This window comes from Homo sapiens, chromosome 2 (genome assembly GCF_000001405.40).
Source record: "Homo sapiens chromosome 2, GRCh38.p14 Primary Assembly".
NCBI classification, from domain to species: Eukaryota; Metazoa; Chordata; class Mammalia; order Primates; family Hominidae; genus Homo; species Homo sapiens.
The window spans coordinates 82,858,314-82,876,239 of NC_000002.12; the positions used below are offsets into that span (position 1 = coordinate 82,858,314).

Sequence of the window (17,926 nt, forward strand, 5' to 3'; positions counted from 1 at the left end):
ACTGCAGTGGCACGATTTCAGCTCACTGCAGCCTCCTCTTTCCTGGGTTCAAGTGATTCTCCTGCCTCAGGCTCCCAAGTAGCTGGGACTACAGGCGCGGGCCACCATGCCTAGCTGATTTTGTGTTTTTGGTGGGGATGGGATTTCACGGTGTCGGTCAGTCTAGTGTCAAACCCCTGACCTCAAGTGATCTGCCTGTCTCGGCCTCCCAGAATGCTGGGATTACAGGCAAGAGCCACCGCACTCGGCAGATCTTCATAATTTTTGTGTAGTAAAAAGTATAAAGTCACACATGGTTTCTTTGAAATAGTTTATAATTTAAAAAAATACAAAAGCAGGAAAACCAATTCTAATTTCAAGTGAGGGATGATGGTAGTTTGAACCAAAGGGCTGCATGTAGTATGAAATTGTGATTTAAGATATATTTTAAAGCTGGAAGTAGCAGGATATTCTGATGGAGTTTAACTTTGGTTTTGAGCCCACTGAGTCTGAGATGCCTTTGAGAAATGAAGGAAGTAGAGAGAGAATACAAGAAAAACTGGCCGGGCACAGTGGCTCACCCTGTAATCCCTGCACTTTGGTAGGCTGAGGCAGGCAGATCACTTGAGACCAGCTTGGGCAACATGGTGAGCCCCATCTCTACAAAAAGTACAAAAATTAGCTGGGCATTGTAGCACACACCTGTAGTCCCATATGCTAGGGGAACTGAGATGGAAGGAACAACTGAGCCCTCGAGTTCAAGGCTGCAGTGAGTCGTGATTTTGCCACTGCACTCCATCCTGGGTGACAGAAGAGACCCTGTCTCAAAAAAGAATCTGAAAACAATGGAACCATGCCTTCAGAATTCTAGAAAGAAAGTTATTGTCAACTGATAAATCTATTCAGCCAAATAATCAAGGGTGAAGGTGAAATAATACATTTTTAGACAAGCAAAGACTCGGGTTATCTCCATGTACCCTTTCTTGGGAAGCTAATGGAGAAAATGCTCCAGCAAAATGAAGGAGTACACAAACCAGAGAATGACATGGATCCAGCAAATAGCATCCAACACAGGCAATATTTCAGCTATGGAGCTGGCTTTAAAAAGAAGCAGTAAAAATATTAATAGGTTAGCTGGGTGGAATGGCCCATGATTATAGTCTCAGCTACTCAGGAGGCTAAGCAAGAGGATGGCTTGAGCCTAAGAGTTCCAGACCAGCCTGGCCACCATAGAGAGATGTCTTCTCTTAAAAATAATAATAGGTTATTGCCAGATTAGGGGCATTTGGGAAGAAGTTCATTGAAGATAATGCAAAGGTAAAAAAGTAAGGGGGAAGTGTTAGTTAGGCAATCATTAATTCTAGGGCAGAAAGAAGTACAGGATAGGAAGTAAGAGCATAATACACTGTTTTTCTCAACAGTGAGCAATATGTACATAGTCATAATGATGTGGTGACTGCTTAGGCCCTAAATCTGGTAACTACTTTGGGACAATATGGGAAGAAAGGTGAAGATAATGATGGTGTAGAAGCTAAATCCTCATCTGTCATATCAAGAAATCACTATATAATGTATAAAATAATCAAGAAATGACTAAGTAGTTATGTAAGGAAAAAAATAGAAGACGTTGCTAAAAGAGTTAAAAGTCATTGCTCTGGAGGATTAGGAGGGATGGGGCAGGGGACTGCTAGGATGTATTATAAACTGAAGAGTCTTTTTAAAATTACAAGTATCAATATATGCATTCACTTGAAAAACTAAAAAAATAATAATTTGGAAAAACTCATGAAAGTAACTACCAGAAGGAAAAACTAAGAGAATGAAAAGTGCTTGCCTCGGGAAAGAACAACTGCCAGGACTATTGTTTTCATTGTAAGACTTTTGGATCCATTTGATTCATTTGCATACATTTCTTTAATGAAAATAATTCTACCTTAATAAAAAGTTACCCTCATTCAAAAAAATAAAAATAAAAAATAAAGTCAGTTCAAAAATGTTTCAGACAATTATCAGGCCTCAGCAAGTAGAAATAAATAAATATACAGTCATTCTTCATCGGCTGAAAATCATATCATGGCTGTAGAATGGTATGTGAATTTTTATTTTCATTCTCTGGGTATGGCAGTAGATATAAGACAGGCCATTTGGCACACATTGAGAGATGTGTGTGCATATATGCATGTGCTATTTCATGCACACATTTAAAAACGTAATATCATTTGTAACTTTGAGGAGTCTAGTTGGTTGCTATATGAGTAATCATTATGTTGTTCTATATCTATTAATATTGTTGATCATCACCAGTCTGAAAGAAGCTAACATAAAATCACAAAATGCCATGAAGCTGAGAACTAGTGACCCCAGGAGGAAACGAACTGACTAATGGCAAAATCTTCAGAGTTATGCCTAAAATCCTCATTCTCATGAAATGCTCTCTTTTAGAACATTTCATTTGGGACACATATGGCTTCACCAGATAAACCTTTTTACTTTACACTTTGGACGGTCAACCCACAGATGTCACATTTCCAACACCACTGAATTCTCTGAAAATAATAATAATACAAAAAGGTAAAGGGAAAGAATTTGTCACTTTGACTTGGCAGACTAAATGATGTAGATCTCAGGAGGCTGGCACTGAAGATTTTCCTCTTGGGTGCTAAACTGCAGCATAAGAAAGAAATCAACAGATAATTCAATAGAAATTGTAGTATTCGTCCTTTGTTTTTTTCCTTCCCTTTTTCTGTTTTATCTTTCTCTTTTTTTTCTTTTATTTTCTGTCCTCCTTCTCCAACTTTTTCTTCATCTGATTTCTTCTTTTCTCCATTTTTTATTCCCTCTTCCTTCTCACTTCCATTCTTCCTCCTTCCCATTTTTCAGCCTTCCTTTCTTCCCTCCTTTCTTCCTTTTCTTGTCTCCTCCTACCTTCCTTCTTTTTCTCCTCCTCCTCCTTCTTCCTCATCATCTTCTGGTTTGTACTATTGAAAACTTTGCATTAAAACTTTGCATTATTAACACATTATTAACATTATTAAGACAATGAGACCCTTCTCTAAAAAAAAAAAATTAGCCAGATGTGGTGGCACACACTTGGGAGGCTGAGGCAGGAGGGAAGCTGAGGCAGGAGGATCACTTGAGCCCAGGAGTTCAAGGCTGCAGTAAGCTGTGATTGCACCACTGTACTACAGCCTGGGTGACAGAGTAAGTACCTTGTCTCAATAAAAACAAACAAAACATTTGTATTTCTGAGGAAACATTCAGACAGCAAACCATGACTTGAGAAAGGATATTATCTTATAGGGCAAAACTCATTCTAATTTAGAAAATTTAAGACGAAAAATTATTTCACTTAAGAGAAAGTGTGAGAAATAGATCATTAAACAACATATGACTTGTCATTAATTTGGTAACTTCACTGAAATAGCAGTGAGTATAATTAATACAGTTGATTCAAGGGGCCAATGGTTCTCTATTCAAACTTCTGTATATTTAAAAATATATAAACTTTGATTGCATATCAAATCTGTGGTTAAAATATCTTGAGTTGGCCAATGATATATTTTAAAACTTCCATGAATTATTGTACGTTAGTACATTCCTTATTTTAAAAATGATAGACTTCATGTGCTGTATTTCTCAAATGAAGGCGAAGAACACCTACGTTGTTCTCAATGTTTTATTTCAATACTTAAGGTATCCAGGACATAATAAGTCTTTCTTCTAAAATTAAGTAAACTGAGAAGGTTCTTCATTCTAATTCTACTTCTCTGACTCATTTGTTCAAGAATAGAACTCTTGGGACAGCCAAACCTGATTCTCTTTTTATTTCCTCCAAAGGCACTTCTCTAACCAACTGTATTCCACCTTAAGGGAATCATTGCTTATCCAGAGTCCTCGTATGACCTGTTGACAGTGGTTTAAATATATCCATTCAATGAAGCATGACCACATAAAGTATTGGTCAAACTTTGATACAAAAACTGAAAATTTTGTTAAACAGCCAGATTAGGAGTCAGTAAGTCTGTAGGGCCTGAGATTCCATTTTTCTAATAAGCTGTCTCATGATGCAGAAACTGTTAGTCATGGACCACTATTTGAGTGGAGTGGGAGTCAAGAGTACTCACCCATGGTCTGGCCTACTTCTGTATGAACTAGGTGAAAGTTCTTGCATTATGTGGCAGGTCATAGCTGTGTTTTTTTGTGTTTTTTGTTTTTTGAGACAGAGTCTTGCTCTGTCACCCAAGCCTGAGTGCAGTGGCATCATCTCGGCTCACTGCAACTTCTGCCTCCCAGGTTCAAGTGATTCTCGTGCCTCCGCCACCCAAGTAGCTGGGATTACAGGCATGTACCACCATGCTTGGCTTATTTTTGTATTTTTAGTAGAGATGGGGGTTTCTTTATGTTGGTCAGGCTGGTCTCAAATGCCTGACCTCAGGTGATCCACTCTCAGCCTCCCAAAGTGCTGGGATTACAGGTGTGAGTGACCACGCCCCATCAGGTCATTTTTGAACAGCTATTATATGGTTCTGGCATCTATCAGAAAAAATAAATATATATAATAAGGCACAGCCTCTGCCTTTAAGAACAAACCATAATCTAGTTAGAAAGCATAGCTCTAAACATAAACTTGGTGCCATATAACTGACTAGGCTGATGATAATGACAGGGAGAAGTAACTCAGTTATGTGATTCCAAAACAATTAGTCAACAGCAGCATATGATTGCCTGTTCAGAAGTAGAGTGGAATCGACGTCCACGGAAGGGAAAATGTGTTAAGCATGGAGGTGGTCCATGAAGGATAGATGGGTGAGAGCGGGTGTGGTTAAGAAAGCATTGACAACATTTTAAAATGGAAAAAATAAAAAAACAAGAAACACCCGTATCTGGGCTTTATGATTGGTTTTCCCCTACACTATGGTCTCCTTCAGAGCAGAGAAAATGCCCATGCTTCCTACTGTATGCGCCACGCTTTTTGGCATATAGCAGAAGAGTAATGAACATCTGTCAATTGTACATATGAAATTAATTGAGAAGAGATGATTTGGCTGTAATGATTAATTGGATGAAGGATAAATTTATTTGGAGAAATAATAAAATGACTAACTATGTACTGAGATGATAAGAATAACATTTTGGGGGTAAGCTTGATTAATATTTGTATCTAGTTACCTATTGTATCTAGTTACGTATCTATCACATGTATCTAGTTACCTATATTGTATCTAGTTACCTATCTATTGTATTGTATTGTACCTAATGTTGTATCTAGTTACCTATCTATCACATGTATTTTTAAATAAAGAATAAAAAGGAGTTTGCATAGAATATTTATTAAGAGCTAAGAGTTTTCAAGTGAAGTGTTTGATGTGGCACTAGGTTTAGGAATCTCTAGTCCAATGATAAAAATAATAAGTTAAAAGTTATTGAGTCTGAGTATAAAAATCAAATTTTATACAGTGATTTTTTCACACTGCAGAGTGTCTCAGATGAGCTTGCATTATTGAAAGAAAAATATATTCAAAACAAAATTAAGCTTAATTAGTTTTATTTACAAGTAAAGATGTTAATATTAAATAATACGTTCAGTTTGGGGAATGAGTAGTGGAAGAAGTGTTTAAAAATTGTGGTAATTTCTTCAACTCCCTCCTCGCCTCCCACGACAGACACACACTCTAGGTTTCAAATAATTTGGCTGTATTATAATTTTCATTAAAACATAATTATCCAAGTAAAATGGTGATGGATTTCTAGGTGACTTTTAACTGATATTGACCTCTTAGAGAGTAGGTAATTCATCTTAAGGGATTAAATTGATTTTTAAATTCAGGGGCAGCTGACTCATGGTGAGGACATATAGCATAAGGTTGGTATTATGTATATTCCTGCCTTTAAATAAGTGGAATGTGCCACTGATAAGTTGATTCAGCTTTCTCTTATAATAAGGTAAAAATTAATTTGCATCATGCCAAATATTTGTGTGCTGATGTCTCATGCTGTCCAATAGCCTGGAGAACTGTCCATTATATGATGGTACAGTAAAAATGAGAAGAGCATGAAAACTCCAGTGATGCAGGCTGTTATTTTAAAACTTACAGATGATTGTTTGCAGGAATCCACGGGAAAGTATAGCAGAATAATATCAATTCAATATTTCAAGAATATAGCAGATGCAGATATATTTTAAGGAATGATAATATATTTCTTCTGCTGTATATCAGCTACTAGGGTGGAAAATAAAAGTTGTGCTAACAATGACCTTTTCTGATAAGCTCTGATCATTGTTAGGAGAATGAAATTACCTTTAATATTTGACTTTAAGATCACCCCAGATACTTCAACTACTTGGTTTTGAAAATCCTTTTCTACATTTTTCAGTTTTATCTAATTGTTTTGCTTTTTTCTAATTTTTTTTTTAGTTACTCAATCTCAATAAGAGGCTTAATACTACTTTTTTGCAAACTCTAAAGAGTCTTTCATGACAGCATAAATTACTGGTCTATACGCTAATTTATGATTCTTTTTAAATTCAAAACTGATGTTGGGTGGCTGGTTCACTTTTTTGTAAACTTAGAACACAATCCTCCCAAATGAGTCAAAACTAATGTTTTATCAAGCTGCTGATTTGAACTAGAAGATTTACAACTTCCATTAACTTCATTAAACAAGACTGAATGATTGTCACTGCTATTTAGATATCCTTTTAGAATTATTGCACAAACATTGTCAGATTGTTTTATGTAAACTTCCAAGTTATTTATGCTAGCAGGAGGTAGTCTGCATCTAAAAGGGATAAACTGACTTCAGAAGAGGGAAAGAATAACACAATCTTCCACTCTCTGGCACTTTCCATTTTGTTATTTTTCTTTTGCATACATTATTTTGGATCCTCAACATTACTTCGGGGAACTTAAGCAAGGTATCACAGTTCTGAAATTTTCATTAAATTTATTCATTTGACTAATCATCTATTTATTTAGTGAATGTTTTACCAAATTCGTACATGTGCTTGTGTTGTAGGAATGCAAAGATAGGAGCAACAACAATAAGAATAACACAAAATAGAGAAAGAAATGCACCTGTCCTCATGGATTTTTAGCCTCATAGAAAAGACAGGTAGAAAACAAAACAATTGCACATTAGAAAAAGAAAACATGCATAGATAGATAAGGGAGTACCCTGAAACATCTGGGAGCAAGGAAAGAATCATGAAAGACATCTTCTAAGAAGTAAAATTTAGCTGAATCATGAAGTACAACTATCTTTAAATATTTTCTTTTTTTCATTATTTTGTTTCTCACCTTTGAGAACTCTAATTTGTTCAATACATTGCATCATTTTCTTACAGTTTTGTTTAATAATCCCTGCTTAAATATTTTACCACAATTTAAATTTTTCTCCATGACCATATTTTTATCATGAGTTTTCTTTACCTGTTAACAAGTGGTACTTTTTCAATTCTCCCTTTGCCCATTCTTTATCTTTGTTTATGTGTTGTTGTAGGTCCTTTTATTTTTTATTATTATGCATTACTCAAAGATTTCTTTCCTTTCTCCTCCTTCTCCACAGCTATTGGAGTCGTTTCCAGGATTATATGGGGAGAAAGAAGATAAATATTCTCAGCTCTTCTTTGTTGCTGTGACAGAAACAGACTGTCTTGCCTATATGATGTATCTAAGACTTTTAATTTTCTCTCCTGTATTTGTTGGTGTTGTTGTTAAATCCAACTGGATGGGAAAGAAGTACTTCTGTTGCTTGTGATATTACCTTACATGTAGTTATTGAAAACAAAGAGAATGGATTTTGCCCCTCTGGGTATATTCTTATTCTGCTGTCATTTTTTGAGATTTTCCAAATCTGCATCATCCTGTCCCACAGGTGTTTTGTTTTTTTTTAGTTTTTGTTTTGTTTTGTTTTGTTTTGTTTTCCCCATGGCATCTCTCCACTTCCTCTAATTTGGCTCCTGGACAATTACAGTTGCTTTCTAAAGATATTATACATAATTAAGGCAGTTGACTTTTAACTTTCATTTACATTACTTTTTAACTTTCTAAAAAAATTTTACTACTTACCATTATGAATGGTATTTAAATTTTGTATTCTGTGGATTTCTTGGGAAGAAATTCAATAAGATAAGATGAATGTAGCAATGCATTATTCACTCATGTTTACCTGAAGTTGGAATGTGTGTTTGAGTTAAAGGTTGAGTACAAATCAAATATGTGAATCTGGACACTTTGCTAAACCTCACTAGGTTCATGTCACTTCTACTAAAATAATGCCATGTCTTATATGATAGTATGTTAGTAGCAATCAATATCCCTAATGCATTCTAAGTGCTATGTAAACTGTAAAGTTCTGTATATATGATACTATTTGTTATGAATAATAATAGCAGTTTGTGTTCCCAACTATCTAACTCATAGCAAAGTCTATGCCACATCTTTATCTTTCTACCATAGAAAGGTTAAATGTGGTAGAGATGAGGTGTCAAATCTGTCAGTCGGTTGGCTAACTAAAATATAACAGCATCATAAACAAGATAAAATATAAGAATCCTTAAGCAAATGCTTTAGCAGTAAACATACTGATAAAATCAGGTCTTGGAAAGGTTTAATGTGTAAAATATGTGGAGCCAGTAGCCCTTCAGAATCCCTTCAGTAATAGCAAATTTTTAGCAATCAAATATTTAAAAATACATGACAGCTCAAAGATGCTACAAAAAAAAGCTTATGTATATACATTTAGTGCACTAGTTTCCCAGGGCTGCTATAACAAAGTGCCACAAACTGGGTGGCTGAAAACAACATAAATTAATTTTCTCTCAATGGTCTGAGGCTAGAAGTCCAAAATCAATGTGTCAGCATACTCATGCTTTCTTGAAGACTGTAAGGGAGAATATGTTCCATGGTTTTAGCTTCTGGTACCACCAATAATCTTTAACTTTTCATCCTTTGCAACTGCAAAATTTCAATCTCTGAATTCACCATTATATAGAACTCTCCCTGCATTTTTGTGTTTTTTCATGTATTTATTTTGTTGTCTTATAATAATCTCAGTCATATTGAACTAGAAGCCCATCCTAATCTAGTATAACCTTGTATTAACTTAATTAATTTCATCTGCTGCAATCTATTTCCAGGTAAATTCACCTTCTGAGATACTGAGAATTAAGACTCCAACATAGCTTTTGGGGACACAATTCAACCTTTAAAAGTCTTCCCTTTGCTTCCCCCATCAAAAAATAAAAATAAAAATAAAGCATGGCCTTTCTGTATGCAAACCACATTCACCTGATCCAAAAGTCTTAACTATTCCAATATCAACTTAAGGTCCAAAATCTCATCAAAATCCTTTTATGGGTAAGACTCAGGATATGGTTCCTTCTCAAGCAAAGATTTTTTCCATCTAAAGACATGAGATAAAAAGAAAACAAGTTATCTTTTTCCAATATATAACAGTGGGACAGACATAAGATAGACATTCCCATTCACAAAAAGATAAATTTGAAAGAAAAATCAGATTACCAGTCTGATGCAAGTTTGCAACTCACTTAGGTTTTAAGACTTGAGTATAATTCTCTCTGGCTCAATACTCTGTCTTCTGGGCCTTCCAAGGTAGCCTTCTTACTTGGTCTTGAATGGCAGCCTCACACTTCAGAACCAAGAGTTGATCCCACCTTCTGGAACCAATAGGTCTTATGAGCCTAGACATCAGAGGCTCCCTCCTCAGAGCCATTCTTCCTCCATTTTAACTTCTCTCTGTACTGTTCAGTACAGGTTGGCAATGTTTCTGCTGATATTACATTTTCAAAAGCCTAAGGACTCCCACAAAATCCACAGGGGTTTATGCCATTAGGCAAGAAGGTCCTCTACAAATATTTCTTCCATAATCACATGTCTATTCCCAGATTTTGCTTAGATGATTGAGTCCAAGAGTCTCAAGCCTAATTTCATTAGCAGATGGTTGTGCAGAAACAGCTTTGTTCCTGCTTCCAAACTATGCTATCTGGATAGGCTGAAAATTTTCCAAATTATAAATTGCTGGTTTCATTTGCATTCCCTTCTTTAATTGATCTTTTCTCTTTGCATTTTAATGTAGGCAGCAAGATAAAAACTTTCAACATTTTACTTCAAAGTCTCCTCAGCTTACAGGATCTACTTTCCACCTAAAACAACAAAATTCAGCAAAGTTTTCTGTCACTCTATAACAACAATCACCTTTGCTCTGATTTTCAATAACATCCTAATTTCCATCTCATCCCTCATTAGAATTATATTTAATTTACCTCTACCTACCCATAGTCTCCTTAATTTAGGCTTTTCTTTCTTTCTTTCTTTCTTTCTTTCTCTTTCTTTTTTTTTTTTTTTTTTTTTTGAGACAGAGTCACATTCTATAACCCAGGATGGAGTGCAATGGCGCGATCTCTGCTCAGTGCAACCTCGACCTCCTAGGCTCAAGCTATTCACCTGCCTCAGCCTACCAAGTAGCTGGGATTACAGGTACATGCCACCATGCCCAGCTAATCTTGTATTTTTAGTAGAGATGGGGTTTTGTCATGTTGGCCAGACTGGTCTCGAACTCCTGACCTCAGGTGGTCTGCCTACCTCGGCCTCCCAAAGTGCTGGGATTACAGGCGTAAACCACTGTGCCCAGCCCAATCTAGGATTTTCTTTCGTGCATTTCAAAACTCTTCTAGCCTTTATCAGTTACCCAATTTCAAAACCACTTAAACATGTTATTTTTTAATAACAATTTACTTTTAAGTACTGAAATCTGTATTAGTTTCTGATGCCTTAATAAAGTAGCACAATCTGGGTGGCTTCTCTTAAAGCTCTGGAGGCTCCAAGCCTGAAAGCAACATGTGCAGAGAGCCACACTCTCTCAAAGGATACAGGGAATAATTTGTTTCATGTCATTCTCTTCGATTCTGGCATAACTGGCAAACCTTGTAATTCCTTGGCTTGCAGCTACATAATTCCAATCTCTGCCTCCATCATCACATGGTATTTTCCCATACTTCTATGTTTTCATAGGTCATTTTTTAATAAGGAAACAAGTCATATTAGATTAGGAGCCCACCTTATTCTAGTTTAAACTTGTCTTAACCTAAAAATTACATTTGCAATTACCCTATTTTCAAATAAGGCCACAAACTGAGTTACTGATGTTAGGATTTCATCATATCTTTTTTGAAGTACACTATATTAGTTCTTTCTTGCACTGCTATAAAGAAATACCTGAGACTGGTAATTAGTTACATAATAAACAAATTAGTTACTCCCAAGATACAATGGAGGTCCAGGCATTGGGTAAATACTCCTATTCCAAAAGGGAAAAATTAGCCAAAAGAAAGGGGCTACAAATCCCATGCCAGTCCAAAACCCAGAAGGGCAGCCATTAAATATTGAAGAGTCAAAATAATCTCTTTTGACTACTTGTCCCACATCCGGGACACACTGGTGCAAGGGGTGGGGGTCCCAAGACTTTCAGCATCTTTGTCCCTGTAGCTCTGCAGAGTTCAGCCCCCATGGCTGCTCTCATGGGCTGGCATTGAGTGCCTAAAGCTTTTCCACGTGCATGGTGCAAGCTGTAAGTGGCTCTACCAATTTTGGGCCTGGAGGACAATGGCCCTCTTCTCACACATCCACAATGAAGCCAGGCTCTTTGCTAAAACATAGCAAGAGTGACCTTTACTCCAGTTTCCAATAAGTTCCTAATTTCCAACTGAGTCCTCCTCAGCCTGGACTTCATTGTCTATATCTCTATCAGCATTTTGGTCAAAACTATTCAACAAGTCTCTAGGAAGTTCAAGCTTTCCCACATCTTTCTGTCTTCCTCTGAGCCCTCTAAACTCTTCCAACCTCTACTGGGTACCCAATTCCAAAGCTGTTTCCATATTTTCAGGTATCTTTATAGCAGTAACCCACTCCTGGTACCAATTTTCTATATTAATTGATTCTCACACTCCTATAAGGAAATACCTGAGACTGGGTAATTTATAAAGAAAAGAGGATTAGTCCTCTTTTGTTCTCACTCGTAGGTGGGAATTGAACAATGAGAACACTTGGACACAGGAAGGGGAACATCACACACCAGGGCCCGTTGTGGGGTGGAGGGAGTGGGGAGGGATAGCATTAGGAGATATACCTAATGTAAATGACTAGTTAATGGGTGCAGCACACCAACATGGCACATGTATACATATGTAACAAACCTGCACGTTGTGCACATGTACCCTAGAACTTAAAGTATAATAAAAAATATATATATAGATACAGATAAAGAAAAAGAAAAGAGGATTAGTTGCCTCATGTTTCCACAGGCTATACAGGAAGCATGGCAGCACCTGCTTCTGGAGAGGCCTCAGGGAGCTTTTATTCATGACAGAAGGCAAAGTGGGAGCCGTCATCTTACATGGCAGGAGCAGAACCCAGAGAGAGAGGTGGGGAGGTGCTATACACTTTGAAACAAGCAGATCTCACAAGAGAACTCACTATTGTGACAACAGCACCAAGGAAGATGGTGTTAAACCAGGAGAAAATACCCTCATGATCCAATCATCTCCCACCAGGTCCCACCTACAACACTGGGAATCACAATTCGACATGAGATTTGGAGAGGGGCACAGATCCAACCCATATCAAAAACACTTCAAACTATAATATATAGCATTTGGCAGAAAATATTCAATACAGGTGTCTTTTTGATATATTGACTTATTTTTCTTTGGATAGGTATCCGGTAGTGGGATTGCTGGATCAAATCGTAGATCTACTTTTAGCTCTTTAAGAAATCTCCATACTGTTTTCCGAAGAAGTTGTACTAATTTACATTCCCACCAACAGTGTATAAGTGTTCCCTTTTCACCACATCCATGCCAACATCTATTGCTTTTTGACATTTTAATAATAGCCATTCTTGTGGGAGTGAGGTGATATCGCATTGTGATTTTAATTTGCATTTCCCTGATGATTAGTGATGCTGAGCATTTTTTAATATATTTCTTAGCCATTTGTATATCTTCTTTTGAGAAATTTCTATTCATGTCATTTGCCCACTTTTAATGGGATTATTATAATATTTCTTGCTGATTTGTTTGGTTTCCTTGTAGATTCTGGATATTTGTTCTTCATCAGTTGCATGGTTTACAAATATTTTATCCCATTCTGTGGATTGTTTACTCTAATTATTATTTCTTTTACTGTTCTGAAACTTTTTAGTTTAATTAGATCTCATTTATTTATTTTCGTTTTAATTCCATTTGCTTTGGGGGTCTTAGCCATGAATTCTTTGCCCAGGCCAATATCCAGAAGAGTTTTTCCAATATTGTCTTCTAGAATTACCATGGTATCAGGTCTTCGATTTAAGTCTTTGATCCACCTTGAATTGATTTCTGTATAAGGTGAGAGATAGGGATCCAGTCTGACTCTTCCACATGTGGCTATCCAGTTATCCCAGAGCTACTTATTAAATAGGGTGTATTTTCCCCAATTTATATTTTCATATGCCTTGTAGAATATCAGTTGGTTCTAAATATTTGGCTTTTTGTCTGGGTTTGTCTGTCTTCTGTTCCGTTGGTCTAAGTATCTACTTTTATACCAGCACCGTGCTGCTTTGGTAACTATAGCCTAACAGTATACTTTGAAGTCCAGTAATGTGACCCCTCCAGATTTGCTCTTTTTGCTTGGAATTGCATTGGCTATTCAGGGTCTTGTTAGTTCCATATGAATTTCAGGATTAATATTTCTAATTCTGTGAAAAATGATGTTGGTATTTTAATAAGAACTGTGTTGAATCTGTAGATTACTTTGGGCAGTATGGTCATTTTCATGATATTGATTATTCCAATCCATGAGCATGGGATATGTGTTCCCATTTGTTTGTTATCATCTATGATTTTTTAGCAGTGTTTTGTAGTTACTCTTGTAGACATCTTTTACCTCATTGATTAAGTATATTCCTAGGTGTTTTATTTTTTGCAGCTGTTGTAAAAGGGATTTAGTTCTTAATTTGATTCACAGTTTGGTTGCTATTGGTGTAGAGCAGTGCTACTAATTTGTGTACACTGGTTTTGTAACCTGAGCTTTCACAAAATCTATTGATTAAATATAGGAGTCTTTTGCAGGAGTCTTTGGGATTTTCTAACTATATGATCATCTCATGGTCAAACATTATAGTGTGACTTCCTCTTTTCCAATTTGGATGCCTTTTATTTTCTTCTCTTGCCTGATTGCTCTGGCTAGGGCTTCCAGTACCATGTTGAATAGAAGTGATGAAAATGGGTATCCTTGTCTTGTTCTAGTTCTCAGGGAGAATACTTTCAACATTTTGGAATTCAGTACGATGTTGGCTGTGGTGTTTTCATATATGTCAGATAAGTCCTTTCTATGCCTAGTTTGTGGAGGATATTTATCATAAAGAAATGCTGGATTTTATTATATACACTTTCTGCATTTATTGAGATGATCATATGGTTTTTGTTTTTAATTCTGTTAATGTGATGTATCACAATTATTGACTTCCATATGTTAAACTAACCCTGTGTCTCTGGGATGAAATCCACTTGACCATGGTGTATTATCTTCTTGATGGGCTGCTGGATTCAGTTAGCTAGTATTTTGTTGCAGGTTGTTGCATCAATGCTCATCAGGGATATTTGTCTGGAGGGTTTTTTTAAATTATGTCCTTTTCTGGATTTGGTATCAGGGTGATACTGGCTTAATAGAATGAGTTAAGAAGGATTCCCTCTTTTACAATCCTCTATAATAGTTTCAGTAGGATTGGTACCAATTATTCTTTGAATGCATGGTAGAATTCAGCTGGCTGCAAATACATCTGGTTCTGGGCTTTGTTTTTTTATGATAATTTTTTATTACTGATTCAATCTTACTGCTTGTTACTGGTCTGTTCGAGGTTTCTATTTCTTCCTGATTTAATCTAGGAGGGTTTCCAGAAATTCATCCATTTTCTCTAGATTTTCTAGCTTGTGTGCATAGAGGTTCATAATAGGTTCAAATGATCTTTTGTATTTTTGAAGTGTTGGTTGTAATGTGTCCAGTTTAATTTCTAATTGGATTTATTTGAATCTTCACACTTCTTTTCTTGGTTAATCTAGTTTATGTTCTATCAACTTTGTTTATCTTTTAAAAGAACCAACTTTTTGTTTAATTGACATTTTGTATTTTTTTCATTCGCTTTTGCTATATCCCAGAGGTTTTGATAACTTGTGTCACTATTTTTATTCATTTCAAATATTTTTTGTATTTCCATCTTGATTGTATTGCTAACCCAAAAATCATTCAGGAGAAGATTATTTAATTTCCATGTATTTCTATAGTTTTGAGGTTTCCTTCTGGCATTGATTTCTAGTTTTATTCCACTGTAGTCTGAGAAGACACTTGATATGATTTTGATTTTTTAAAATTTGTTGAGACTTGTTTTGTGGCCTATCATATGCTCTATCTTGAAGAATGTTTCATGTGTTGATGAGAAGAATGTTTGTTCTGGAATTCTTGGACAGAATGTTCTGTAAATATCTGTTAGGTCCATTTGTAAGTCCATTGTTTCTTGGTTGCCTTTCTGTCTTGCTGATCAGTCTGGTGCATCAGTGGAGAGTAGAAATACCCCACTATGATTGTGTTGCTGTCTTTCTCATTTCTTAGGTCTAGCAGTAATTGTTTCATGAATCTGGGAGCTCCAGTGTTAGGTGCATATGAATTTAAGATTGTAATGTCTTTTGTTGGATTCATCCTTTCAGCATTATATAATGACCTTCTTTGTCTTTTTTTAACTGTTTTTACTTTAAAGTATGTTTTATCTGATAATAGAAATAGCTACTCATGCTTGCTATTGGTTTCTATTTGTGTGGACTATCTTTTTCCACTCCCTTCCTTGATTTTATTTAAATCTTTATGTGTTAGGCGAGTCTCTTGAGGACAGAAGATATTTGGTTTGTAATTGTTTTTTATCCATTCTGCCAATCTGTATCTTTTAAGAGAAACATTTAGGCCATTTACAGCTAACGCTAATATTAAGATGTGAAGTACTGATCCAGTCATCATGTTAAATGTTACCTAGATACATTGTTTTCTTCATTGTATTATTGTTTTATAAGCCTTGTGAGTTTCATGCTTTCAAGAGATTCTATTGTGGTGCATATCAGAATTTTGTTTCAAAGTTTAGAAATTATTTCAACATTTCTTGTAGGGTGGGTCTGATAGTGGCAAATTTCCTCATCATTTGTATGTCTGAAAATGACTTTATTTCTCATTTGCTTATAAAATTTAGTTTGGCTGGACACAAAATTCTTGGCTGACAGTTATTCTGCTTAAGGAGGATAAAATTAGGAACCCAGTCCCTTTTGGCTTATAAGGGAGGAGAAGTCTGCTGTTAGTCTGATAGGTTTTCCTTTATCAATTACCTGATGCTTTTGTCTCACTGGTCTTAGAATATTTTCCTTCATGTTGACTTTAGATACATTATTAATAATATGCCTTGGTGATGTTCCTCTTTGCAATGAATCTCCCAGGAGTTCTTTGACCTTCTTGTATATGGATATCTAAATCTCCAGCAAAGCCAGTAAAGTTTTCGTCAATTATTTCCTGAAATAAAATTTCCAAAATTTTTACTTTCTTTTCTCCCACAGGTATACCAATTATTTTTAGTTTTGTTCATTTTACATAATCCCATATTTCTTGGAGACTTTGTTCATTTCTTTGGATTTTTTTCTTTACTTTTTTCGGATTGGATTAATTGGAAAGCCATGTTTTCAAGCTCTTAAATTTTTTCTTCTACTTGTTCTGGTCTATTGTTAAAACTCTCCACTGCATTTTGTAATTCCCTAAATGTGTCTTTCATTTTCAAAAGTTCTAATTCCAAAAAACAGGTAAGTTGATGAGGTGATAGGTATGCTAATCAGCTCAATTGAATATTTCTCCAATGTATACATAAATTAAAACATCACATTTAACTTCAAAAGTATACAAATGTCAATTAAGAATAAATAACTAGGGGTGGTCCAAGATGGCCAATTAGAAGCAGCTGCAGTCCACAGGGCTGAAGGAGAGGAAAAAAATGGCTAGTGAATTCTATACCTTCAACTGAGGTATCCAGGTTCTCACATTGGCACTGACTAGGCAGTCGGTGCAATCTATGGAGAGTGAGGAACAGCAGCGTGGGGTGACAGCCCACCTGGGAGTGACACAGTGCCAGGGGAGTTCCCATCCCCAGTCAAGGAGGTAGTGAGTGATTGTGCCACCCCACCTGGAAAACCATGCTTTACATGAGCCCATGCCACCAGGGCCTTGGGTCCAAAGCACAGAGCTGTGCAGACTTCTTGTGGCTGCTTGGGCATGCATGGAGACCCAGGAGCTTTTGCATATTCTGGCCCTGGGAATTCCAGTGAGGCAGGAGATCCATCCATTTTCCTAGGAAGGAGGCTGAATCCAGGAAGCCAAGTGGCATCATTCAGCAGGCCCAACTCCCATGGCATATCACAAGTTAAGACCCACTGACTTGGAATTCTAGCGGGCCAGTGGCAGTAGGGTGGAGACTGCCTGTAAAAGGACCGATTTCTTGCAGGGAAGGGCTGCTCCCGTTATAGCCTAGTTGGCCACTCTAGCCTGCCTGCTCCAGGGAGTCTGGGCAGTCCAGACTGGGAGGAATTCCCCACAGCGCAGCACAGCTGCTGTGGCAGATTGTGGCCAGACTACTTCTTTAAATGGGACCCTGATCCATCCCTCATCACTGGGCGGGGCCTCCGAGCAAGAATTTCAGCAACTTCAGCCAGAGTTTTATGCAAATAACTCTTATCTCCCTGAGACAGAGGCAGGAGGGGCAGCTGTGGTCTCTGTGGTTCAGCCAACTTAGTTTTTCCCACCTACTGGCTCTGCAGAGTTCAGGTTGTCTCTATGAGGAGGTTTCCACAAGCGCAGAACACTGGCTCCAC

The 17,926-nt window shown here is 36.7% G+C and overlaps 2 annotated features.

Annotated features, from left to right (window-relative positions):
- Window positions 17,632-17,926: an enhancer, noted in NCBI's record as "tiled region #13516; K562 Activating DNase matched - State 13:Ctcf". NCBI's record gives its function as "activates a minimal TATA promoter and a strong SV40 promoter by Sharpr-MPRA in K562 cells {active_cell/tissue: K562}" and the evidence as "EXISTENCE:reporter gene assay evidence [ECO:0000049][PMID:27701403]".
- Window positions 17,632-17,926: a silencer, noted in NCBI's record as "tiled region #13516; HepG2 Repressive non-DNase unmatched - State 24:Quies". NCBI's record gives its function as "represses a minimal TATA promoter and a strong SV40 promoter by Sharpr-MPRA in HepG2 cells {active_cell/tissue: HepG2}" and the evidence as "EXISTENCE:reporter gene assay evidence [ECO:0000049][PMID:27701403]".